General features: G+C 48.2%; 1 protein-coding gene and 1 long non-coding RNA gene across 9 annotated transcripts in view, besides 1 other annotated feature; both read right to left on the bottom strand.

Annotated features, from left to right (window-relative positions):
- The window catches only part of NDRG4 (NDRG family member 4), a 51,673-nt gene extending 51,126 nt beyond the window's left edge, over positions 1-547 (bottom strand). For all 8 annotated transcript variants that reach the window (XM_047434509.1, NM_001378346.1, XM_006721256.4 and 5 more), the window contains exon 1: positions 465-547. The gene's annotated coding sequence lies outside the window, so the exon portion shown is untranslated. The remainder of the gene's footprint in view (positions 1-464) is intronic.
- Positions 1,401-27,433, bottom strand: part of LINC02137 (long intergenic non-protein coding RNA 2137) — a 41,536-nt gene continuing 15,503 nt past the window's right edge. The window contains exons 3-4 of the long non-coding RNA NR_187253.1: positions 2,680-2,791; positions 1,401-2,108 (exon numbers count right to left, since the gene is read on the bottom strand). This is a non-coding gene — a long non-coding RNA (long intergenic non-protein coding RNA 2137). The remainder of the gene's footprint in view (positions 2,109-2,679; positions 2,792-27,433) is intronic.
- Positions 4,603-4,897: an enhancer, noted in NCBI's record as "tiled region #12894; HepG2 Activating DNase unmatched - State 9:DNaseU, and K562 Activating DNase matched - State 8:EnhW". NCBI's record gives its function as "activates a minimal TATA promoter and a strong SV40 promoter by Sharpr-MPRA in HepG2 and K562 cells {active_cell/tissue: HepG2 | K562}" and the evidence as "EXISTENCE:reporter gene assay evidence [ECO:0000049][PMID:27701403]".

Below are 27,433 nucleotides of genomic sequence, written 5' to 3'. Positions count from 1 at the left end.
CCCCCCTCCAAAACGGTTTAAAAAAATCCACCAATTGCATGGCCGCGCACCCCCAAAAAGGCACCCGCCGCCACCTGGTCCCGGTGAACTCCAGGAGGCGGAGGAAGGGCGCGGGGTGGGTGCGGTGACACCGTGGGAGGTGGTCCCCCGTGCCCGCCGCCCGAACAAAGAGACCCCGCCGCCTCCGGGCGTCGCGGTGGGGGGTCGCGGACGGCGGCTGGGGGTCCCCAGCGCGGCCGGGAAGGCGAGGAAGGAGAGCGGGAGCCGCGGGGAGGAGGGGGCGCCGCCCCCGCGGAGGCGAAATGGGGCGGGAGCGAGTCGGTGCGGGACTCGCGGGGCTAGGGTCGTGCGTGGGGCTGGGGTCGTGCTCGGGGCTGGGCTGGGCTGGGCGGGGACGCGCGCAGCAGCCGCGGCGGCGAGAGAAGCTGGCCCTGGGCTCAGGGGCGAGGGCGCCGCCGACTCACCGCGGAGATGCGGACGAGACAGACGCGCAGGCGGGGAGCGGGGCTTCGGCGCCGCCGACGCGCGGGTGCAGGTGCGGGCAGCCAGGAGCCCCTCCGCGTGCCCGCGGCTGCAGGGGCGGAGGCCGGGCTGGGGGCGGTGCGCCGCGGGGGCGTGCCCGCGTGGGTTTGGCGGGTGTGGGCGCTCGGCCCGCGGGGCGGTGCCGGGCCTGGGGCTAGTCCCGGACGGACCGCGGTCCCTCGCGCGTGGCTTCCGCCTTCTGCGCGGCTGGGGTGCCCGGTGGGCGGGCGGGAGGGCGAGCGGGGACCGCGACGCGGAGCCTGGGGGACACCCCGGTCGATCCGCGCCCCCGCCGACTTCTCACCCGCTCCGCCGCGCGGACTGTGCTGGGTGCGCTGCGAGGCCCTGCCCGCCCCTCCAGGCCCCCTGTGGCCGCGCGGCGTCGGGTTCCCGGGGGAGGGGACGGCGCTGCCGTAGTCTTTGTTTAGACTCCCAAGGGGAACCTTAGACCTGCAGAGACATCCCCATCCCAGCGCCCCTGCGCCTGCTGCTTCGCGCTACCCGCCGTCGCCGCCTGGGAACCGAGGGAGAAAAGCCCTTAGGGTCGGGAAGAACCAGGGGCTCAGGGGCCTCTGGGGCGTCGTCCCCCTCCCCCCGTTTTCGGAGCCCGAGGGTGTCCTTGAGGAACTTGTGCAGGAGTGAGGAGGGACATCCCCTAGCAAAGGTGTCCTGGTCCCTCAGGGTCCCACCCTGAAGGTGGGGAGGTCTCTGCTCCCCTCAATTCACCTCCATTATCTGAGCGGGAAAGGGAACATGGGGACCCGTCTCTTCCTCAGGCTCATCCTGCTCGGGGCCCCGAGGCACTCCTCCCTCCTGCCACTCCCCTCACCAGCCCTCCTTTGGTCCCAGATGAAGTCCCACTCCAGGGAGTACGGAAATCTGATGGCCTGAAAAATTTTATTTGGACAAGACAGCTAAAGACAGGGCTCCTGGAGAACCGGGTTCTATTCAGGCTCGGCCGGTGACCTTGGGCGGGGCTCTGCTCCTCCCTGGGTTCCAGTCTTTTCCATGCAGGACTCTGTTGGACCAGGTCATCTTGGAGGTCCAGGATGGCGGTGGGGTTGGGGGTGCAGAGGGGCCTGCAGGCTTCCGGGCCCTTCCGCAGACCTCTCTCTGGGCTGGTTTGCGGAGACGCCCTGGTTTTCCTTTCCCCCAGCTCCAGGGGGCTGTGGCCGTGAATTAACCGATCCACCAGCTGAGGAAGCTGGTAAGATTTTGGTGGCCCCAGATGGGGCATATGTTCCCGCTTGGGTTACAGCTTTGTCCTTGGGTTACCCCTACAGCTTGGGGTGCAGTGTATAAATCACAGGAGGCAGCAATTTGGGTTCCTTGCTCTGCGGAAATCCCTGCCTCTCAGTTTCCTCCTTTGCAAAGGTGTGGAGGGAGGTCGGTGATGACAGAAGTGAACCTCTATTTCTGACACCTCCACCAGGCTTAGTTCTATATATAGCAGCCAGGAGCCAGTCCTTAGGAGCACAGGCTGGTCCTACAGCTTCCTGGCTGTGGAATGTTTGGCAAGCTGCTTACCCTCTCTGAGACGTCATGTCATACTCTGTGAAATTGGGATGATGCTGACCTCAGGATTCCTGTAAAGATTAAATAACAGAATATAAAGAAAATGCTTAATATAGTGCCAGACGCATGACTTAAGTTTAAGTGTTCAATACATGGTCATTATTATTATTCATGATGAAATTGTTATTATCGCATGAGAGATTCTTTCAGGCTTACCTGAGTCCTACCCTTTTCAGTCATTTCAGACTTTGTCATTGGACAAAATTAATTGTTGATGTTCTAGTGACATAATTCACGGGGCCTAGGCTGTTCTGCAGGCTGCCTAACAGGAGCTTTGACACTATGACACGCCTGTCTGAGACATGGTGTCTGCAGTGGCCTTGAACTCATGCAGACTATCCATGTAGCTCAGATAGTTCATGAACTCCTGTGAGCATTCCAGTGAGTCAGGTTGTGGATTTGAACTCCTAAAAGTGGAGACAGTAGGGCCGGGCGCGGTGGCTCATGCCTGTAATCCCAGCACATTTGGGGGCCGAGGTGGGTGGATCACCTGAGGTCAGGAGTTCAAGACCAGCCTGGCCAACATGGTGAAACCCCATCTCTACTAAAAATACAAAAATTAACTGGGCGTGGTGCACATACCTGTAATCCTAGCTACTCAGGAGGCTGAGGCAGGAGAATCACTTGAACCCAGGAGGCGGACGTTGCAGTGAGCCGAGATCGCGCTGCTGCACTCCAGCCTGGGTGATAGAGTCTAAAAAATACATAAATAAATAAATAAAAGTGGAGACAATAGATGAAGAAGAAACGTAATCGTGAGAGTCCCCAGGGCTATTGCATCAAACAAAGGTGCATAAGGAAGAGGTAGGTTGAGGAGGCCCTGACCCTTCTGGAAACATCAGTCATGACAGGCAGCGGAGTCACTACTGAGTCAGCAGAAGGGCAAGCTCTGGGTCCCCTGTGCCGCTGGGCTCTCTTCATCTTCAGCACTCTGCGGAGGAGGGGTGATGTTTGGGAGCAGGTTGGATTAACAGTGAAAAGCAGAACAGTGCAGAGAGCCAAGCTGTTGCCTGGGACAGGAGGCCTCTAAGAAAGTGTCCCCCCAGCCTTGCTCCTAATTACTTGAAACATGCTTCCTAAGTCACTGCCTTGTAAAATGGGCAGAAGATCACTGGCCTGCACCCAGGTCGGAGATGAGATAACCTTTCTAAAGATCTCAAATGAGCCTTCACTTCTCATCTGTAAACTCAGGCTGATATATCTAGTCAGGGTGTTTAATTGCAAGAAATAGAGACCTACTCTGGCTAATTGAAGCAGAAAAAGGCTTTGTTAAAAGGAGGATAGGCCGGGCATGGTGGCTCACCCTGTAATCCCAACACTTTGGGGGGCTGAGGCGGGCAGATCACTTGAGGTCAGGAGTTCAAGACCAGCCTGGCCGACATGGTGAAACCTCACCAAAAATACAAAAATTAGCCAGGTGTGGTGGCACACGCCTATAATCCCAGCTGCTTGGGAGGTTGAGGCAGGAGAATTGATTGAACCCAGGAGGCAGAGGTTGCAGTGAGCCGAGATCCTGCCACTGCACTTCAGCCTGGGCAAAAGAGTGAGATTCCGTCTCAAAAAAGAAAAAGAAAAAAAAAAAAAAGGAGGGTGGGCATCTCTTGGAATATCAGGTGCCAGGCCTGACACTGCTATGTTGGCCTGATGTTAAAACCACTACTGCCATCCCCCAGCACAGAAGCTGCAGCCAGTGCCACCCCTGGACGTGGTCACTGGGCACTGCCATCAGGAACTCAGCTGCTGCTTCCCCAGTCCTCACCGCAGTGGATTCTGTGTGGTCTTGGCTTCCTCGTGCCACTAGTTTCTAATTAACAACCAAGAACAGAACACGCCCAGGTGCAGTGGCTCACACCTGTAATCCCAGCCCTTTGGGAGGCTGAGGCAGGAAGATTGCTTGAGCCCAGGAGTTCAAGACCAGCCTGGGCAACATGGCAAAACCCTGTCTCTACAAAAAATGCAAAAAGTAACCAGTCATGGTGATACACGCCTGTGGTCCTAGCTACTCAGGAGGTTGAGGCAGGAGACTCGCATGAACCTGGGAGACGGAGGTTACAGTGAGATGAGATTGCACCACTGCACTTCAACCTGGGTGACAGAACAGACTCTGTCTCGGTAAATAATAAATAAATAAATAAGTAAATAAATAAATAAATAAATAAATAGAATGGGATGTCTGATTGGAGGAGCATAGGTCATATACTTTGGCAAAGCTGTAAGCAAAGCTGGGGAAAGATGTTTTCAGTTTCTCTAGTGGGAGGTGGGCTCTGCCTTGTAGAAAGGGTGTGTCAGCTGCTGGGGGCCAAGAGTGACCAGTGACCACTTCAGATAACAATGGTCTTGTGAAACTGTTGTAAGATGATGCACATGGACATTTGACTTGGAGCCTGGCGTGGAGGGAACATAGGGATCTCAACGATCCCTCGTTGTTGAGATTCATACCACACTGTAAATGTAAACCAGTGGTACTCCTCCATTCTTTAAATTTTTGATTTTTCAGCAGGTAAAAGACAAAAGGACCTTGAAAACAGTATGGCTTGCTGCCCTTCCACAGACAGAGGCAGCTCCAGTCCTGCTGCCAGGAGGACAGGTGACTGGGTTTTTCCATTGTGGTGATGAATTGGGCTGAGTCACCATCCCCTCGTGACCATGACTGGGAGCAAGTAGAAAGAACCAGCTGATGGAGTCAGAGGTGCAGATGATGAACCTGGGGCCAATGAATCTTCTTCCCTTAGCAGGGGTGGGGGAGATAGGAACTGTCTCCCCCTCCCCAGTAACACTCCCTACTTCCGAATCTTGAGCCACACTCAGGGAGAGAAGAGAGGCTCCTTTCTTTCCTTTCATAGTATTGATTGAGCGTCTTTTTGGTGTTGTGGGGTTCAATGGAGAACAGAGCTGATCAGGACATTGACCTTGACTTTAAGGTTCATGCACTGATGGAAACCAGCTCAGAGTCCCATAATCTCAGTACCAGGCCGACTCTACTAAGATGAGTAATTGATGTTACCATAGAGTGCAGTGGAGGCCTAGGGGACTCAGCAAGGGCTTCCTGGAGGAAGAGGCATCTGAGCCCCCAAGAGGTGGAAGATCAGCAGATGGAGATGGGAGGCGGACGAAAGGGAGAGAACATCCATCCATCCATCCATCCATCCTACACTGGATCAGCCAGGCCCTGTGCTGAGCTCAGGGAGGCACAGAGCTAAGCACATTGCAGCCCTGCCCCTCAATGGGAGCTCCTGAATTGAGGTGGAGAGGCCTGGGTATGCATGAGTAGATGGTGAGGAAGCTGGAACGAGGAAGCGGGTGGGGAAGAGTTCCCGGCCTCAGCCTGGCTCTGGAATTTCACCAGTTACCAGATTATCTGCTCCCTGCTCCTGGGCCACCGTGGACGACTCACTGGTTTTATTGCAATCCCCTTTCTCCCATGATATGTAAGGGCCCTTTGCCCTGCAGGGCCAGCCCCTTGCTATCCTGGTAACTCTGGACACCCCACTGTCTCCTCGGTTCCTGAGGACAGTAGAGCCCCCTCCAGTGCCATTTGCAAATGTCCCTCCACTTCCCCTGGAAACTTTAGCAGGCTCATGGAAACCCAGTTGGTGCTGAGTCAAGGCAAGAGGTGGAACTGATAATATTGTTTACAAATTATAATAGTTATGTATATTCAATGCATAAACCTTATGCAGGGGGAAAATAAAAATCACTAATAATTCCACTGCCTAACAATAGGCAGTGTTAACATTTTGGGGGTATGATCTTCAATGCTTTATATATATACATACGCACATACACACACACACACACACACACCACACATATACACACACACACACAAACACACACATATATACAGTGGCCCTCTGTGTCCATGGGTTCCACATCCATGGATTCAACCAACCACAAATCAAAAATATTAAAAAATAAAATAATGTAACTATAAAGTAATGCAAATAAAAAACAATACAGCATAACAACTATTTACACAGCATTTACATTGTATTAGTTTTTTTGTTTTTTTTTTTTTTTAGATGGAGTTTTTCTCTTGTTGCCCAGGATGGAGTGCAATGGCACGATCTTGGTTCACTACAACCTCCACCTCATTTCAAAGCCTGAGGTTTTGTTTTGATCTTGTATTATGGTGTGTGTGTGTTTTTATTGTTTGTTTGTCTGTTTGTTTTTGAGATGGAGTCTCCCTCTGTCACCCACGCTGGAGTGCAGCAGCCTGATTCTGGCTCACTACAACCTCCGCCTCCCAGGTTCAAGTGATTCTCCTGCCTCAGCCTCCGGAGTAGCCAGGACTACAGATGTGCACCACCACATCCAGCTAATTTTTGTATTTTTAGTAGATACAAGGTTTCACCATGTTGGCCAGGCGGTCATGAACTCCTGACCTCAAGCAGTCCACCCACCTCGGCCTCCCAAAGTGCTGGGATTACAGGCGTGAGCCACCGTGCCCAGCCTGATCTTTGTTATGGTTATGTAAGATGTTATCATTGGGGGAAATTGAATGAAGGCTACACTGGACCTCTCTGTACTAATTTTTTTGCAACTTCCTGTACATCTACAATCATTTCAAAATAAAACAACAACAACCAAAAAAAATTGAGGCAGGCCGGGGATGAACTATTTGACCTCAGTTTCAGAAGCTTCTGTTTTAAACTCTACACTTTGTCACGTGGACCAGAGCTAAGGTTTCCTTGTCTCAGTTTCCCTTGAAAGGTGGGACTTGGTCTAGGGAAAAGCACCCCTCATGGAGAGTGGCGGGTGACCATCCAGGCTCTCCTCCATCATAGTGCTCCTGCAGCCCAAATGTGTGCTTGAGGGGCTGACCTACCCTGCTCTCTGCAGGAGGGGAGAACCCGAAGGGGAAAAAGGGGAGGCACGGTTTCCCTTGTGGGCTCCAGGGAGTTTCTAGGACAGGTAGGAATCTGGCCGAAAGCAGACGAAAAGATGAGACTTGCTCTTTGGAGCTGGGCAAAGCCTTCTCTTTCCTTAGGAAAACCCGTATGTCCAGAGAAACATCTCTCCTGAAGAGCTGGAGAGGGGCCCCCTTTTGGCAGGCTCATCCTTCTTGGGTTGTCATTGGCCCAGCCTCATCTTGGGCCTGAGCTAAAGCCACCCACAGAGCTGGGCATGGGCCACTCCCCAGACCTGGGGCAGACTCAGCTCTATGGCTCACCACCCAGGGGCACTCTCCGTTCTCAGGGGCTGCAGCTTCCCCAGTGTCCTGAGCACCATGACAACAGGGTTGGGTTGAATCAGGTTTCAATCAAGTTTCCAAATAACAGAAACTGGGGAGCCAACTTAGAATGCTGGCTTGAGAGTCCCCAGGATCACCCTCAGGCTTCATGATTTGCTAGGACTCACAGAACTCAGAAAAGCCATTGTACTCGTATTTATCACTTATTGTGGTGTAAGGATACAGATCAAAATCAGTAAAAAGAAAAGGTACAAAAACAAAGTCGCGGGGATATCAGGTGCATGCTTACAGGTGTCCCTTCCTAGTGGATTCACCTGGGAACACACTAATTCTTCCAGCAACAATGTATGATGACTTATGCAAGGTGTTACCAACCAGGGAAGCTCACCCAAGCCTTAGCATCCAGGGTTTTTATTGAGGTCAGTCATGTAAGTATGCATCACCCATGTGACCAACCTTAGCCACCAGTCTCCAGGCCCCCAGAGATCAAACGGACACAGTGGTGTCAGACAAATAAAAACAGGCATTCATCACAAGTTACATTGTTAGCATAAACTCTGGTCAAACTGATACAGTGTGCCAGGAGGCCCCAGACGTACAAAAACATTGTTATCAAACAGGATGCTACAAGGGCTGAGGTTATCTCCCAGAAGGAGTCAAGGGCCAGCCCCTTCTTTGGAATGTGCAGGGTTTGAGCAATACCAGCCTGCTGAGCTAACTCTTTACTGTTCAGATGCCAATCATTTATTTTACCTAATACACGCAGAAATCATCTGTTATCACCATGATTTCATAAAAGAAAGATTTAATGCCAAGAAGGTAGTTTGGACATTATGACAGTGTGGGTGGAGGTCTGTGCTCTCCAAGAGAAAACAGTTGGCTTGATGTCGCTGACTATGAAAATGAAGGGACCAGAAGCCACAAGTGTACACCATGAACCCAACATGGGCTTTTTTTCTTGTTTGTCTGCACAGCTTTGTCTCCAGTCAAGGAAGGGATGACCTGAGAGGCTCAGCCTTCCCTCTGCTCCTGTGCTGGTTCTGAGTCAGATGTCCCTACTCTTGGGCAGGACCAGGCCCTGCTGAGGATGGGAGGGCACGGTATGGAACCCTCCTCCCTTAAGCATCTAAGCCTGTTTGTCCTTTCTTTTCTTGGAACTCATTACTATTACAACTTATTCTGGCAAAGAAGGGAGTCTGTTCTTTTTTAGCAAGTGCTGTGGCCTCTGCCCTGCCCCTTGCCCCAGGCTCTGGTCCCTACTAGGCTGACTCTATGACCCTAGGATAGAACAGCTATTCTTTTTTTTTTTTTTTTTTTCTTTTTGAGACAGGGTCTCATTCCATTGCTCAGGCTGGAGTGCAGTGGTGTGATCATAGCTCACGGTAGCCTCAACCACCTAGGCTCAATCGATCTTCCCACCTCAGCCTCTTGAGTTGCTGGGACTACAGGTGCATGTCGCCACACCTGGCTAGTTCTTGTATTTTTTGTGGAGATAGGGTTTCCCCATGTTGCTCAGGCTGGTCTCAAACTCTTGGACTCAAGCAATTCTCGTATCTCAGCCTCCCAAAGTACTGGGATTACAGGCATGAGCCTCTGCGCCTGGCCAGAACAGCTATTCTTCTAAAGTCTCAACTCACCCCGCTTTCCTCACCATATATCCTCCATGCATAGAGCTGAGCATTAAAGACCTGGGCTGCTGGCCTGTGCAGGCTTCATGGCTTGGAGACAGACAGCCCTGGGTTCCACCATCCACTACCTGGGTGACCTGGAGCAAGTAACCTAACCTTGCAGATCTCTTTGTTTCTCAAGTGGGTCTAATGATAAAGCTTTGAGGAATTAGTGAGTGGGTAACAGCCCAGGGCCTGGTGCCGTTTGAATCCATTGATTAGTAGCTGTGAGGACGATGAATCACGTAGTTTCAGGTGCAAAGCGTGGGGGCAAAGAGAATCCTTGTGATGAGTGCAGTAGGTGCTGTGACACATCCAGCTGCCTTGGAACTGGGTGCTGAGAAGTCAGGGGGGTCCTGGGGCTTCAAGACTTCTGGGGAGGGAGCACAACTCATGCACATGACGAGAAGAGAGCTGGTGGGGCTTTGGGGTTGTGAGGACTGAGGGGCTTGTTCACCGTGGGGTCTTTGCATGTGCATTCTCTCTGTCTGGAGACCTCTTCCTTCCATTTTCTACACCTCCCATTTATCTCTGGAGTGTCCATTTAGACCTCAACTAACCCCTTCATTCCCTGACTCGCCTCCTCTGGGCCCCCTTTGAGCCCCCTGCTTTGTTGTAATAATAATCTGCCATTTATTGTGCCAGGGATAATGCAGAGGGCATTACCTACATATGTTATCTCCTTTGACTCACTCAATATTTAGAGAGCTAGCTGTAGCTTTATTTTTCTGATTTTACAGATGAAGAAACAGATACACAGAAGTGAAGCTGGTGGCTCAACAACCCTCCCTCACTCCATACAGTGGTTGTCTGTGTGCAATTTCATCTGTGCCCTGAACGATGAGCTTCCTGAGGGCAAGGAAGCTTGATCACTGTTTAGCCCCAGATACTTAGTAGATGGGAGCCCTCCACCAGTCCTTGCTGAATGAATGAATGAATGAATGAATGAATGAGTAGATGAATGTTTGTAAAGTGGCAATGCAAGCTGGGAATACCATGGACCACGGACAACAAACAAATATTAGTACCTGTGGTGGGCAGAATAACCCCCCCCCCCCCCAAATCCTAATCCCTGGAACCTCTGAATATGTTATGTTACTTGGCAGAGGGAAAGGAAGGTTGCAGATGGAATGAAAGTTGCTAATCAGCTGACTTTAAAATAGGGACATGATCCTGGATTATCTAGGTGGGTCCAAGGTAATCACGGGGGTCATCAAAAGTGGAAGAGGGAGGCAGGAGGGAACCAAAGAAATGGCAGTGTGAGAAGGATGTGGCTTGACAGTGTTGCTGGATTTGAAGATAGAGAAAGGGCCACAAAGCCAAGGAAAGCATGCAGCCTCTAGAAGCTGGAAAAGGGAAGGAAGGGGATTCTCCCTTACAGCTGCCAAAAGAAGGGCAGCCCTGCCGACATCTTGATTTCAGCCCAGAGAGACCCATTTCAGACTGAGGACCTCCAGAACTGTAAGCAAATATATTTGTGTTGTTTTAAGCCACAAATGTGATTTTTTTTTTTTTTTTGATGGAGTTTTGCTCCGTTGCCCAGGCTGGAGTGCAATGGGGCAATCTTGGCTCACTGCAACCTCCGCCTCCTGGGATCAAGCGATTCTCCTGCCTCAGCCTCCCAAGTGGCTGGGATTGCAGGCATGCACCACCATGCCCTGCTAATTTTTTTTGTATTTAGTAGAGACGGGGTTTCACCATGTTAGTCAGGCTGGTCTTGAACTCCTGACCTCAGGTGATCCACCCGCCTCTGCCTCCCAATGTGCTGGGACTACAGGCATGAGCCACCACACCCGGCCCACAAATGTGATTTTTGACAGCTTCCACAAAAAAGTGAATATAATGCCCTATCCCTGATGTCAAGAATCACATCTGACCCTTAGTGGTCACTTATCATATGATGGTTGAATTGCACTGGAGTATTGCTATAAGCACCCACTTACTATCAGGAAAGATGCATAACAAAAAAGTGCTTTTAAAAAATTTATATTTTGGGGTCTAACTGGGAGGTCTCAATGTGGGTCAGAATTTGATTCTGAGACAGAACCATTGGCTCAGCAGGTTGGGCTGGATGGATCACAGAGAGTGACACCAGGGGCCTTCTAGGGAAGGGAGTCACAGGCTAATGAGTGAGTAGTGATGCTGGACAGGTAGATGTCAGCATCCTGGGACCACCTATGGCCTCAGGCCTGGGGTCCCTGCATAATCATTAGGGCTACCATGCATTGAGTCTAGACCCTCTGCCAGACAGGATCCTAAGCCCCCCACAACATCAGCCCAACAGCCCATTATGTAGGCAACACGATGTTGCCTGCCTGCCAGAGGAAAGAACAGCCAGCCCTCGTGTACTCCTCCACCATGCCAGACACTGTTCCAAGAGTGGCACATCCTTAACCCATTGAGTCCTCATAACAGCCCCATGTGATGGCTCCCATCATTGTCCCCAGTTTACAGATTAGGAAACTGAGGCCTAGAAAGGAAGTCACTTGCCCACTCGCATAGCCAGTAATTGGGTCTGAACAAAGGCACTGTGGGCCCAGGGTCTCTGTTCTTTTTCTTTTTTTGAGACAGAGTCTCCTACTGTCACCCATGCTGGAGTGCAGTGGTGCAATCATGGTTCATTGCAGCCTCAACCTCCTGGGCTCAAGCCATCCTCCCACCTCAGCCTCCAAGAGTACTGAGATTATAGGCCTGAGCCACCACGCTCAGCTGTGAGTCTCTTAACTACTATGCTTTACTGCCTCTCTAGATGGAATAATAATTATATCATAATTATATATCTGTTAATGTAATAGTATAATAGTACAAACATTTAATAATTATATACCAAAATATGCCATTTTAGCACATTGGTTATTTTGAACTGAAGTCAACTGAAAAGAAGCAGATACAAGAAAAACTCTCTGGCCTCCCGCTATTTGCCTAAAAGCAGGATATAAATTTGTAAAAGTAGCTCTTCTTCACTCTCTGCCAGGAAGAACAGAAGTTAATCAACATAGACAACTTTGGACCTTTAGCCCAGAGAGGGCACCAGAGGAATCTACAAAACAAACCTGACTCACCCACCCTATCTTCCCTTAGCTTCTCCATATATTTACCCTCCCACAGCTTGCCTCCCTAGAAGCTCTAAATCCTTTCACTTTGTCTTGTCACTTCTCTAATAATTTATTGTTCTTTTGTCAAGATGCTGTATAAGCCCAAGTTCTAGCCACTCCCTTGAGTTACTCATCCCTGAGTATTTCCATGTGTATGCATGATGCACATATTGATAAACTTCTGCTTGTTTTTTTTCTTGTTAATCTGTCTTTTGTCAGCCTGGTTTACAGGACCCCAGCCAGAAAATCTAGGAGGATGGAAGGAAAAGGAATCTTTTCTTCCTCCCCTACAATACCATCTCCCATTTGGATCAGGCCTTTCTGTTTATGACACATTCTCCTGTTTTCTCTTGTCATCCTCACAGTGGCTGGTTATGATGATGAGTGCCCTTGGCTCACATTTTGGGAAACAGAGCCCAGAGAGGGAGACACCCACCCATCCACCATCCAAGATGAGGGTGGGATTCCTTCTGGGGTCTCCTGCCTCCAAGTCCAGAGTCGCCCACTCCCACCGGCTGCCCCCGTCTTGTCCTGGTGCATTATTTATGGGCCATTACCCACCTCCTGCAGGCATCCAGATGCTGCCTGCCAGAGCTGTGACCTCAGTGTCCCCTGGAGAAGATCAATGGTGCCCCCCCCCCAACCCCCTGCCAGCCCCACTCTCTGCTCTCCTCTCCAGCTGCTCCCTCTTTGGGTCTCTGCAGGCTCCTGGTGTGTGGCACAGCCTGTCCCGTCCCACCCACCAGAACCACCTTGTGAGCACAGATTCCTCTTTGCCAAGCCAGCTGACATATTCAGCAGGCTCCTGACTTGCTGAGCAAAGCAAGGGTAGTGGTGAATTCCAAGCTTTCCATGCCCTCACCCTGACATGTGCAGGGGTGGCATAGAGGGTGTGGATGGTGTGTGTGCATGTGCGTGTATGTGTGTCTTGAGAGGAGGGTGTGTGTGTGTTGTATGTGGGAGGGGTTGTTTAAGCACTCATGGTTGAACCCATTTGCATTGCCTCTTCTGGGTCTCATAACTGAAAGTGTAACCAGCAAGGGTCATTTTCTTCTTCCCTGTCACCCAGGGGGGTGGGAAGAGGTGCTTAGATCTAGAGTTAAGGTTGGGAGCAGGGCCCCTGGGAACCCTGGGATCCCACAGCTTTGGAGCTGTGTGATGTTGAGCAAATTGCTGAATCTCTCTGAGCATTATTTTCCTTCTCTTTATATCATTGAATCATGATGAAGATTAAATGAGAGTGCATAGAACGCATTCAGCACAGAGCCTGAGGGACAGCAAACACTGAAAATGAGCTTTTGACGATGCATGCGTTTGGATCACAAACTTGTGGAAGAAAGAACACCAGGAGGAGAGGAGAAGCCCAGGGTTCCACAGGCAGAATTCGTTGGGCTTTAGGCAGGAGTTTGGTCATCTTCACCTCAGTTTCCATGTCTATAAAATGGGCAATAGCTGAATTGAGCAGTTGCTTAAAGCCATGGCTAAAATTATGGAATTCTAGAAAATAAAAGTGAAAACCCCAGGTCATCGCCGAAGTTTTCCCTTCTTGAACTGAACTCTTCCCTCCCATTTCCTCAGATTTGAAGGCATTTGGCAAGTGTTAGCACATAAAGCCGAAGGACAGGCATCTTGGTTTCTCCTCCCTACTTTAAAGTCTCTGGTTGAAAGTCTCAGAATCATCTGGAGACCTTGTGACTCACAAAACCCCTGAGTCCTGACCCTGGGACCCTGGTTGGTTGGGGACAAGGGCACCAAAGCATCTGTATCCTTAATAAGTTTCCTGAGTGAGTCCAAAGCAGGTGGCCACTCTGAGAAATTAGAGACCAAGTGCTCTGTTGGGGATTGCCCAGATACCCCTGGGAAGAGTTCTAGACTTCCAGAGTCCTGTCTCCAGGCTCCTTCTCCTCCATCCTAAGACCCTGAGAATTAAAGGAACGAGCTTTCCCAGACCTTGCCATCTCTCTCTTCCTCCTATTGAGCATCGTTGATCTCCGTATTTTGATCAATTTCCAATCACCATAACTGTTCTTGGATCCAGGTCAATTGACGTTGGTTCTGCAGATGCCTCATCCTGGAGGCACAGGTAAGTGATGCTGGATCTACATCAAAGTCTTCCCCAGTCTTGGGAGCACAACTTGAAAAGTCTGCTGTTAGGGCGATGAGACAACTTAGATAACAGTGTGATTGGTGTCCAGGAAGCCACAAGCCCCAAGTGCCAGCATTTCGTCATTGCATCCTGTGCCTTGTTGGGCTAGTGGGTGCCTGGTAAATAGGAGGCAGAGGAGGAGAATAGTCTTGCAGCAATAGCTCACTGGTTTACCAGGAGCACCCCCCCACCCACACACCGCTGCCTTTTATTTTTTCTTAAGAGATTCTGGAGGCCGGCTTCATCTGCTTTAAATCTCATTGTGTGATTTCTTTCCTATAGTGAATCAGCAAGAGTCTAAGGTCTCAAGTGATTTCAGTGACCTTCACCACATTCAATGCCCTCTTAATCCAGAATCAACTGTGCCCCTTGTGAACACACACCTGCCCTTCTTCCATCTCATTCTTCATAGGAACAAGCACAATCATCATCAGCAAGCCTCAAGGGCTCACCATGGACTGCGAATCCATCTGAAAAGTTCTATATAGTTGTCACTACAATCCCATCAATTAGGAATTTAGATTATTCCCATTTTACAGATGAGAAAACCAAGGCTTGAGGAAGTTAAAACTTAACTTGCTGACAGTCTTACAGCTGGTCAGTGGTGGAGCAAAGACTCGAGCCTGGATCTCTAAGCCCACACTTTTAACCACTCTGCCGAGAGCCTTTTCATATTGGTAGAAATGCCTGGTTTCATAGGATAGCCCCTCACCCAAGCCCTCTTCTGTACACCCCTTCCCCAGGGCCGCCTTCTAGCTAGCAGTCCTGCAGCCGTTCCCATTTGCAATGAATGTACTCCATCCCTACTTCCTGGAGTTAATTATTTCAAAAAGACATTTGGAAACTCAGACCTGCTGTCTAATATGTTCCCTTTTGCTAATTCAATAATCCTGTTTTTCAAATATGAGTGTGTTTTTTCAACTTGTCATTGGACTGATTACTCAGCAGATATTATCTGATCATTGTTTTCTTCTTTGAACTCATGCTCACACAAGCCCGATGGATTTCAGAGCGGAGACCTGTGATTTATGACTGGGGTGTCTATTCACCAAGGGCAAGGCCTTGGCTCTCTGTGTGCTGAGGCTCAGCAGTCAGCCAGGACATAAGAGAGCCAGTCTGAAACCCTGAAAAATATAACCTACCAGATCATGGCAGAAAGAAGCAGCTTGAGCTCCTACTGGTGCATTTGGTTCACCAAATGCTAAGAGTGGTTATATCCAGGTGGTGGATTTTAAGGGAATTTTTAGTTTCTTCTTTATACTTATCTGTTTTATTTTCCACTGTAGTTTCCAAAGTCTGTATAATTTTAATAATAAAATAAGAATACATGTATTGTGATTAAGGCGGGCGCAGTAGCTCAAGCCTGTAATCCCAGCACTTTGGGAGGCCAAGGCAGGCAGATCGCTTGACGTCACGAGTTTGACACCAGCCTGGCCAAAATGGTGAAACCCCATCTCTACTAAAAATACAAAAAAATTAGCCTGGCATTGCGGTGGGCGCCTGTAATTCAAGCTACTCAGGAGGCTGAGGCAGGAGAATCACTTGAACCCGGGAGGCGGAGGTTACAGTGATCCCAGATCGCGCCACTGTGCTTCAGCCTGCGTGATTCTCAAAAAACAACAACAAAACCACAAAAAACAAACCAACATTTATTGTGATTAAAAATAAAGTTAATTCAATAAGATAAATATTATCCTTTAGGCAAAGCCTCAGATGAGTCTGGCTTTTATGAACTTGTTAAAGCCATTCCCAGAAGCAGACCCCTCTGAAAATGAGCAAAACTCGATGCCAAAAGAGAAAACAAGACCATGGCTATTAATTATGTTCATATATTTCTAAAAATAGAATGAAACTTGAGCTTTAAAATGTAAACTTTATCATTTGTTAAATCTTAGACATCACTTTTGTTTACCCGCGGGCATGACTTATGTAAATTTGCAAGTGGACTGTAGCGTGGATCTGTTTGTGTGTTTTTCATTCAACAAACATGGATTGAGCTTCGCCCTATACAAGTCAGTATTCTAGGCTTCAAGGATTCGAGAAGGAATGAGGATGGAGCCTCAGGATTGAGCACCTCCTAGTCTAGGGGGAGACAGTTATGCAAACAGTTACACAATTTGACAAGTGCTCTAGGAGTGCAATGGGGAAGACCAAAAGAGGCAATCTTTGCTCTGCCTGAAGAAGTCAAGGAAGGCTTCACAGAGTAGGTGACTCACACTTAGAATAGGAGTTTTCCAGGTAGAGAAGGTGGGGAAGACATTCTGGGCAAAGGGAAGAAGATATGCAAAATTACCTGGGGATGATGGGGATAGGAAAAGCTTGTGTCCATGAAATAGCAAGTTGCTGGTTGTGATTACAATTTAGAGTATATAGTATGCATTTGTAGATGTTGGTTGGATGGTTAGGAGCCTTGAATGATGGACTAAGAGGTTAACTTGAAGATAGGGAACTATTAAAAGGTTTTAAGCAGGGGAATGGCATGATTAGATTTGCCTTCTAGAATGGCTGCTCAATGGATACATCAATGAAGGTCCACCTGGGAGACAGAAATCACATCAGTTATTTGGACAGAGGGAATTTAATGTAAAGAATTATGAACTAGGTCAATCTATCTGTTGATCTATCTATCTATCCATCCATCCATCCATCCCCCTATCACATGTCATTCATTAAAGCTCACTATTTTTTCAGTTTTTTCTTTTTTTACTTTTATAAATTTAAGGGTACAATTGCAATTCTGTTACACATATATTTTGTACAGTGGTGACGTCTTGGCTTTTAGTGTATTCATCACTCAAATAATGTACCAGTTATTGTACCCATTCTTTTCTTTTAATATGAACTTTACAAATAAATGCAAAAATCTTAAATATACATTTGCTAAGTTTTGACAGATGCATACACCTGTGTAATGAAAATTTATATTGAAATATGAGACATTACCATCACCTGAAAAACATCCTTCATGCCCATTCACAGGCAATCTCTGCTTTCACGGAGACAACAACCACTATTCTAGTTTTTTCCACCATAAATTAGTTTAGTTGAGGTTTCTCAACCTCAGCACTACTGACATTGTGGCCCAAATGATTACTGCTTGTTGGGAATTGTCCTGTATGTTATTTAGCCTATCCTAGAATGTCATACAAATGGAATATACTTTTTTGTTTGGCTTTTTTCACTTAACGTAATGTTGATGAGATTCTTCCATGTTGTTTTGTATATCGCTGGCTGTTCCTTTTTTTTTTTTTTTGAGATGGAGTCTCGCTCTGTTGCCCAGGCTGGAGTGCAGTGGCGCGAACTTGGCTCACTGCAAGCTCTGCCTCCCGGGTTCACACCATTCTCCTGCCTCAGCCTCCCAAATAGCTGGGACTACAGGTGCCTGCCATCACACCTGGCTATTTTTTTTTTTTTTTTGTATTTTTAGTAGAGACGGAGTTTCACCATGTTAGCCAGGATGGTCTCTATATCCTGACCTCATGATCCGCCCACCTCAGCCTCCCAAAGTGCTGGGATTACAGGCGTGAGCCACCGCGCCTGGCCTGGTCCTTTTTTATTGCTGAGTGGTATTCCATTGTATGGCTAGATCACAGTTTGTTTATCCATACTCTTGTTAATGAACACCTGGGCAATTTCCAGTTTTTTGTTATTATAATAAAGCTGCTATGAACATTCATGTACAATTTTCTTTGGTGAGCATATGTTTTAATTCTTATTGACTAATTAGCTAAGAGGAATTTCTGGGTCATAAGGTATAATTAGTTTAGTTTTGTTTTGTTTTGAGACAGGGTCTCGCTTTGTCACCCAGGCTGGAGTGATCCTGGCTCACTGCAGCATCGACCTTCCAGTCTGAAGCAATCCTCCCACCTCAGCCTCTCAAGTAGCTGGGATTACAGGTGTGCACCACCACTCCTGGCTAATTTTCATATTTGTCTAGAGACAGGGTCTCCCTATGTTGCCCAGACTGGTCTCAAATTCCTGGGCTCAAGTAATCCTCCTGCCTCAGCCTCCCAAAGTGTTGGGATTATAGGCATAAGCCACCATGCCCAACCTGTAATTAGTTTTATAAAATACCACCACAACTTTCTCCCAAGTGATTGAACCATTTTCCATTCCCATAAATGAGTTCTGAGATTTCCAGTAGCTCCACGTCCTTGCTAACATTTTGTCTTGTCAGGCTTTTTTTTTTTTTTTGAGATGGAGTCTCCCTCTATTGCCCAGGCTGGAGTGCAGTGGCGCAAACTCGGCTCACTGCAACCTCCACCTCCTGGGTTCAAGCATTCTCCTACCTCAGCCCCCTGAGTAGCTGGGACTTCAGGCGTGCGCTACCACACCTGGATAGTTTTTTTTTGTATTTTTAGTAGAGATGGGGTTTCACCATTTTGGCCAGGCTGGTCTCGAACTCCTGACTTTGTGGTCCCCCTGCCTCGGCCTCCCAAAGTGTTGGGATTACAGGCATGAGACAATGTGCCTGGCCTGTCAGTCTTTTTAATTTAGCTTTTCTGGTGAAAGTAACATAGTTTTTTATTATGGTTTAAATGTGCCTTTCCCTGATGAGTAATGATGTTGAACTCTTGTCTATATTTGCTATTCATAGATCTTCTTTTGTGAGTCCTTTGTTCAAATATTTTCCTCATTTTTTACTGGATTGCTTGAGACAGGGTCTCACTCTGTCATCTAGGCTGGAGTGCAGTGGCATGAACTCAGCTCACTGCAGCCTCAGCCTCCTGGGATCAAGCAATTCTCCCTCCTCAGCCTCCCAAGTAGCTGGGACTACAGGCACACACCCCCATACCCGGCCAATTTTTGTATTTTTTGGCAGAAACAGGGTTTCACTATGTTGGCCAGGCTGGTCTTGAACTCCTGGGCTCAAGTGATCTGCCTGCCTTGGCCTTCCAAAGTGCTGGGATTACAGGCGTGAGCCACTGTGCTGGATAAAGAGCCTTTTAAGTTTTTAAAGCCTTTTAATTTTATGATTAATCCTTTGATCCATATATTCCACTTTTTTTTTTCTAGACAGGGTCTCTCTCTATTGCTGGAATGCAATGGCGCAATCATGGCTCAGTGCAACCCCAACCTCCTAAGCTCAAGCAGTCCTCCCATCTCAGCTTCCTGAGTAGCTGGGACTACAGGTATGTGCCACCATACCAACTAATTTTTAAATTTTTTGTAGAGATATGGTCTCACTATATTGCCCAGGCTGGTCTTAAACTCCTGGTCTCAAATGATCCTCCCACTTCAGCCTCCCAAAGTGCTGGGTGACAGGCGTGAACCACAGTGCCTGGGCCATATATTCCACTTTGTATGTCCCTCTTGGTTTGAGCCAGATCCAAGAGCACAGGGACTTCTGGGTCAGGCATTTAGGTGGTGTCTTAGCCAATTTTCTGTTGCTATAACTAAATATCACAGACTGAGTAATTTATAAAGAATAGAGGTTTATTTAGCTCATGGTTCTGGAGGTTGGGAAATCTAAGGGTGTGATGGCAGCTTCTGGTGAGGGCTTTGGTACTGCATCATAACATGACAGAAAAGTGAAGGGCAAGAGAGCATGTGTGAAAGAACCTGCAAGAGCTAGCCAGGCTCATTTTACAACAATCCACTCTTGGGAGAACTAACTCGCTCCTGCAATAAGGGCGTTAATCTATTCATGATTCATGTGGGCTCCACCCTCATGACCCAATCCCCTCCTAAAGCCCCACCTCTTAATATTATTACATTGGCAATTAAGTTTTCAACACATGAACTTTTGGGGGATGCATCCAAACCACAGCAGGAGGCATCTATCCTCCCCCCCACCCCGGTTGAGCCTCAGAGCTACACAGGTGGCTATGTCAGGATGTCCTCATTCTGGAGAGACATGAGCATTCACCTGAGTCATCAAGCTGCAATTATGTGTCCACTCTGAAGGGACAGAGAATTGGTCTGCTCACCATTGACCATCAAACCCCCTCTCTGGCTTCCAGGTCTGGTAAAAAACTAGCTTTTGTCCTAGTCCTTATTAGACCTTGAGAAAGTCTCAGCCCTTATCTGAGCTCCCCGATCTGTAAAAGGAGAGATCTTTGACATGAGGCAGCTCAGCCTAGCGATTAATCATGAGGCTGTGGGTTCAGACATCCTGCCTGGTTCAAATCCTGCTCTGTCTCTGCACCCAGTGCAAATGAATCCATCTTTGTGCTTTGGTTTGCCCATCAGCGAAGTGGGATTAACAACTTCGGAGATAAGACTCATATAGCTCTGGCTCACAGCACTCAACAGTTTCTAGCTGGTTCTCTTGCCTGCAGCATGTCCTTGAATGAACACAACAGCCCTGGGTGGTCAGAACTATCATTGGCCTCATTGTACAAGTGAGAAAATCCAAGGTTGAGAACATTAGGGACTTATCCAAAGTCCTAAGGCTAAAAAATAGCAAAGCTGGGATTGAACTTCAAAGGTTATGAAGCTCTTGGGGAAAAGAAATCATTGAAAAAAGCTGTGCTGTATTATCCCACACCCTCTCCTCACTCCCTAGAATATCATAGCCAACTGAAAATTAAGCCTAGAAGAATATTTAAGGTTTAATTTCACAGGCAAAAGAAACAAGCCCAGAATCAGCGGAGCCACTGTCTCCCACAGCAAGATGAGGGATGCTCTGGGGATGAGAAGGACCCTGGGGGAGCCAGACAGGCTGGGTGGGGACAAACCAAGGCAGAGGCTGCCAGCTGGTGGCCCCAAGTCTGTTGCAATCCAGGGATGCATTTATTTATTTATACAATTTAAAAAAAATTTTTTTACTATTAATATATTAATCTGCTTTACTCAAAGTTATTTTTTTTTAAAGAATCGCAAACATTAAAAAATCAAGATTTCTCTCTCTCTCACGTGCATCATATGCACATGCACACACACAATCTAGATCTCTGGCTTCTCATGAAAGCTCAGAAGATTTGGCAACACTGGGTAGCCACTGGCTGGAGCTGACAGCAGCTGGCTTTATGAGGCATGAACACCTGGGTCCCCACAGTCGCCACCCCTTGCTGTCCTTTATACCTGGCTCACCGATGTCATCCTGACCCTGGAAGGCACTGGGTTTCAGACCTCTGACTCTCAGGTTTTAATGCTGCCATTCTCAGCTGGGGGCTTTCTCAGATAGGGTTCTTACCCTGGTGGCCACGGGTAAAAAGTGAGGGAGCCTGTGAATTTGGATGGGTGTACTAATCACATGTTTCTGATGTTTTGACATCTGAGACGTTCCTGGCCCTGGAGAGACTCCCCCTTGCAGGGCCAGCCAATTCCTAGTGGTAGTAAATGACTCTCCTAACCGCCAGAGCCCGAACACCACAGCCACCTGCTGCATTGGGCTTTTACACACTGGGCCACTCTTCTCCAGCCCTAATCACCTCCAGACAACTAGAGACAGCCCCTATGCCCTAGTACCCCCTGAAATTATTCAAACTGGCAAATTCGAAGCCTGTGTACCCTGTCTCACCCATTCCTTCCTGCAAAAACCACAATAAAAGCCCTGGCCCAGTTTTCCTCCTGTTTGCTTTGCTTCCTGACAAACCCCATGTTGTCCTGCGTGGCGTGGTGTGCCTCCTCCTCTGGGATCTGTGAGTAGCAAGCTATCATTTCAACAGCAGTCAGCTCCTGATCTGTTGGTGTCACCATAGCTAAATGATAATAAAACCTACGTTTAAAGCAAGGGACAGACAAGTGTCCATCTTTCTTTTCACTAACCTCTAACTGCAACTGAGTATTTCCTTCAATTATCATTGTAGCAACAAACTACAGTAGTGTTAACAGTGTCAGTTGTAAGAATTAAAGAAAGAGGAAAGAAACATGAAAGGTGGCTTGGCAGTTAAGACAAGTTTATTTTAGAGAAAACAAACCTGAGAGGGGTGTTTGGCCAAGTTAGGTTAGAGGCACACTTTTTTACAGACTCAGAGTTTTTAAGGATTCAGGTTAGGAGAGTTTATTACAGGCTCGGACTGCTTTTGTGTTTTTTTGTTGTGCTTATTCGGGAGAGAGAGTTGTGTGTCTGTTCCCATACATCTTTCTGCAGCTGCAGACATACCCCCCGAGTCTGCCTTTACCATCCCTATTTTAGTGCACCTGAAGGGAAAGAAATGTACTTATTAAGGCCCACTGTTTTACTGGAGCCCATTGTATGAGGGTGAAGTTTAGCATTTACCCAAGAGACTTTCCCCCTACCTCCCTCTGTGCCTGAGTTGTTTTATCTGTGTTTCACTGTTTGCTCTTTCTGGCTGCTTGTAGTTAGAAGGGAAGTGATTTCCTTAAAATGCATAAGGCTAAGAAGGGAGCTGGAGCTTAAAGTGGCAGTGTTTGTCTGAGATGATGGTGCTCCTGCTCTGTCATCTGTGTCTTTGCTCCATTAGAAACCATAAATCAGCCTGGCGCGGTGGATCATGCCTGTAATTCCAGCAATTTGGGAGGCTGAGATGGGAGGATTGCTTGAGCCCAAGAGTTCAAGACCAGCCTGGGAAACATAGGGAGACCCCATCTTTACAAAAAATAAAAAATTAGCTGGGTGTGGCGGTGCACGCTTATAATCCCAGCTACTTAGGGAGGCTGAGGTGGGAGGATCATTTGAGCCCAGGAGGTCAAAGCTGCAGTAGGCCATGATTGTGCCACGGCACTCCAGCCTGAGTGACAGAGCAAGACGCTGTCTCAAAATTAAAATAAATAAATAAAAATAGGCCAGATGTGGTGGCTCATGCCTGTAATCCCAGCACTTTGGGAGGCCAAGGCAGGCAGATCACCTGAGGTCAGGAGTTCAAGACCAGCTTGGCCAACATGGCCAAACCCCGTCTCTACTAAAAATACAAAAATTAGCCAGGCATGGTGGTGCGTACCTGTAGTCCCACCTACTTGGGAGGCTGAGACAGGAGGCAGAACCCAGGAGGCAGAAGTTGCAGTGAGCTGAGATCACACCACTGCACTCCAGCCTGGCAACAGAGCAAGACTCTGTCAAAAAAAAAAAAAAAAAAAAAAAAAAAAAAAAAAAAAAACAGGAAGAGGAAGAAGAAGAAGAAAGAAGAAAGAAGATGTCAGTAGATGTAGAGGAAGACCAGAGATTACAGCCAGGAAGAAGGCAGACACCCTGTCCTCCAAACATACCAAATTTCCTAGAGGAAACAGGCACAAAATTCATGCATTTGATCATTCATCCATTAAAAACAAAATTGGGCTAGGCACGGTGGCTCATGCCTGTAATCCCAGCACTTTGGGAGGCCAACATGGGCAGATCATTTGAGGTCAGGAGTTCAAGACCATCCTAGCCAATATGGTGAAACACCGTCACTACTAAAAATACAAAAATTAGCCCTCGTGGTAGTGTGGGCATGTAGTCCTAGCTACTCAGGAGGCTGAGGCAGGAGAATGGCTTGAATCCAGGAGGCGGAGGTTACAGTGAGCCAAAATTGCACCACTGCACTCTAGCCTGGGCAACAGAGCAAGTCTCTCTCTCTCTCTCTCTCTATATATATATATATCTCTCTCTCTCTATATATATATATATACACGTACATGTATACATATATGTATATATATACATATATGTGTGTGTATATATAGATATATATAGTTAGTGACAGTGAAGTAGCATGGAAATGTGGCAAAAATCTGAATGACAAACTTGGGGTACACTCTGCCAAATGGCATCCCAAAGTCTTGAGAAACTCCTGGATCATAGCCATCTCTATGCTGCTCCTCTGAGAGGTCTACTCGTTCCTTCGTTTGTTCTTTTGTATGTATGAGAGCACCAGTCTATTGAGCCCCTATGGGTGCCAAGTTCTGTTACTTGACTAAGAACAGATCTAGCTGCTTCCTGCCACTCCCCATCTGGACATGAAATTCCTTCTGTCACTCTGCCAACCTTCTCTTCTTTCTTTGCCCCTCTCTTGATCTAAGAATCCCATTCCCGGGTGAGTTTGGTGTGTTAATGCTGGGTAAGTGAGCCTGCCTGGACCTATGGCCATCCTAGACAGCTGCAGGGGTGGGGGTGGGGGGCAATCGAAGGTCTCTAACCTCAAAGGCCCCTCAGGGGGTGCATGGGGGCATCTCCCCTTGGGGTTCCCAAGGACCAATCTACCAGCTTGTGCAGCACCCTCAAAAAGGAAGGGGAAAAGGTCATGCTCTATCTGGTATCCACAAAGCCACTTAGATGAGAAGCTCTTTTGTCTGCATTGGATAAGCTCCAACAGTAATCACAAATCTGCCCCTCATCAACAAATCCCTCACCTACCACAAGTAACCAAGTGCAACCTAGAGACGCCGTTGTCTTTTGTTCGCACCCTATTTTTTTTAGAAATCTGCACTTGGTTTGTGTACGAACATGTATTACAACTGTTGTATGTGATAAAAATTTAAACTGGCTTATACAGAAAATAGTTTTTTTTGTTTTGTTTTTTAAAAAAGGTCATTTACAGCCAGGCACGGTGGCTCACACCTGTAATCCCAGCATTTTGGGAGGCCGAGGCGGGTGGATCACGAGGTCAGGAGATCGAGACCATCCTGGCTAACACGGTGAAACCCCATCTCTACTAAAAAATATAAAAAACAATTAGCCAGGCGTGGTGGCGGGTGCCTTTAGTCCCAGCTACTCGGGAGGCTGAGGCAGGAAAATGGTGTGAACCTGGGAGGTGGAGCTTGCAGTGAGCCGAGATTGCTGCCACTGCACTCCAGCCTGGGCGACAGAGCGAGACTCCGTCTCACAAAAAAAAGGTCATTTACTCAGTGAACGGAGAGGCCTGGGGATGCATCTGTTTCAGGCACCGCTGACCCAGAGAAGCCTTGGTTTCTCATCTCTGGCTCTTGCTTCTGTTGTGTTCACTTCAATTTCAGGCTCCATTTTGTGGCCAGATGGAGACAGGCGTTCTAGTTCCTACTTCCTCTCTGGTTTCAGGTCCAGTGAATTTGCTCGTGTCAGGAATGTGACCAGTGTTCTGAACTGGTCACATGCCTGTACCCACCATGGCTGGGAGCGTTGGAGTTACTGATTGGCTTGGGGTGAGAGGCATCATGGGCTCCTCCCCTGGAACTTATCAGCTTCTCTGGGAACATGTGAACCAATGGGATGGATCCCCAGAGGACAACAGGGGTATGGTTCCCAGAGGGATAGAAAACGGATGCGGGCAGAAATAACAGCAGCTGTTTTTGGCCTCGAGCAGATGCTAAGTGGAGGGGCTGGGTTGCACCTGGGGTTGTGGACCACTAAGCCCCCATGGCCTGTGGCCTGTCTATATCCCAGAGTGCCTGCAGGGACTGGTAAACAGCAGGCCCTTCATTCATTCATGCCTGCTGCATGAGTTTCCTGTTGCTGTGCTCTGCACACCTGCTTATTGGGAGACCCTGTTTTTCTAGCTCATCCTTCTGGAGGGTCACCCATTCCCTGGCCTCTCCCCCTCCAGAAATGAAGTCTCACTTCTGTGGGTGAATCTCTTTCTGTCTCCCTTCATCTTTTGCAGCAAACCTCAGTCTGAAGTGAAACATCAGGAAATAATTCAGCCTTTTGTTTCATGGACACATACACAGAGTCTGTAGGTTCTGGACACATTCCTTAGATGAGTGGTAGTGGTGGGCAAGGCTGCAGGCATCTGTATCATATCTTTGGGGCCTGGAGGCCAAGCAGCAGCTTCCACTGGATGCTTCCCCTAGATCAGGGTACACACACGGGAACAAACCTGGGTTCAAGATCCCCCGTCAGCTCAGGGCTGTGCACAGGGAGTCTGGTAACAATTGGCAGATGAGGTGGAGGAGCTGGGAGCAGATGGGCCCTGGAGGGTCAGTCACTCCTTGGGGAAGTGCAGACAGGGGTGGTTGCAGCTCCCTGACTGATTGGTGCCTGACCGAACCTAATGATGGACATGAACCAGAGGCTTCAGAAGTGCATGCCATCACTGCTCCTGCAGCTATGCTGCCCTAGCTCAGGCTGCCATAATGAAATACCATAGACTGGGTGGCTTAACCCAAGAAGAATTTCTCACAATTATGGAGGATGGGGTGTCCAAGATCAAGGTGCTGGCAAGGTAGGTTTCATCCTGAAGCCTCTTCTTTTGGCTTACACGTGGTGGCCATCTCGTTGTGTGCCCATATCACCTTTTCTTTTTCTTTTCTTTTTTTTTTTGAAACAGAGTCTTCCTCTGTCACCCAGGCTGGAGTGCAATGGCATGGTCACAGCTTGCTGCAGCCTTGACCTCCTGAGCTCAAGTGAGCCTCCCACCCCAGCTTCCCAAATGGCTGGGACTACAGGTATGCACCACGATGCCCAGCTAATTTTGTAAACAATTCTTGTAGAGACAAGGTCTCATTATGTTGCCCAGGCTGGTCTTGAACTCCTGGGCACAAGCGATCCTCCTGCCTCAGCCTCCTAAAGTGCTGGGATTACAGGCATGAGCCACTGCACCTGGCCAACATGACCTCTTCTTTGTGCATGGGAGAGAGAGAGAGAGTGTGTGTGTGTGTGTGTGAGAGAGAGAGAGAGAGAGAGAGAGAGAGCACATGTGTGCAAGCTCTTTGGTGTCTCTTCTTATAAGGGCGCTAATCCCATCATGAGGGCCCCACCCTCATACCCTCACCTAGCTATAAGCACCTTCCAAAGGCCCCATCTCCAAATCCCATCACACTGGGGGTTAGGGCTTCCGTATATGAATTTTAGGGGAACATAATCCAGTGCATAGAAGACGCTAAGTCCCTTCTGTCTGTCATTCAGTCTGACCTGCCTGGCACTCTGTGCTGTTTTACAAATGGAGACGCTAAAGCCAGAAGGGCAGAGTGACTGGCCCAGGTCTCAGAGCCTGGAGTGGTGGAGACAGGATTGGAATCCAGGGTCACCTGGCTCCAAAGTCCATTCATTTAATCATTGAGCTCTGCAGTTTTCCAAGGGTCAGAAATCTGAACAGACAGTGGGCTTCTGAAAGACAAATGAGGATGCAACAGATTACTGAAAACCACCACTCATAGGACATTACTAATCAGGTCAGCTGATTTGTTTGAGACAGAAAAACATGGGGCAGTTATTTCAAAGAAAAATAAATCCACGAAACAAAATGCTTATATGCTCTCCTTTGTTACTGATGGGGCAGGAGGTCCTCCCTTGCTATCATTGCATTTCTGATGCCTCTCACTGGTACAGGGCATACTTAGTGCTTGGTCAATATGGAGAAAAGGAGGGATGGATGGAAGAGGGAGGGAATCAGGAGGATCTTGTACCACGTGCTCCTGGGCCAGAGCCAACTTT

This window comes from Homo sapiens, chromosome 16, assembly GCF_000001405.40.
Source record: "Homo sapiens chromosome 16, GRCh38.p14 Primary Assembly".
In the NCBI taxonomy this organism is placed as follows: Eukaryota; Metazoa; Chordata; class Mammalia; order Primates; family Hominidae; genus Homo; species Homo sapiens.
This window is presented reverse-complemented; position numbering and strand designations above follow the sequence as displayed.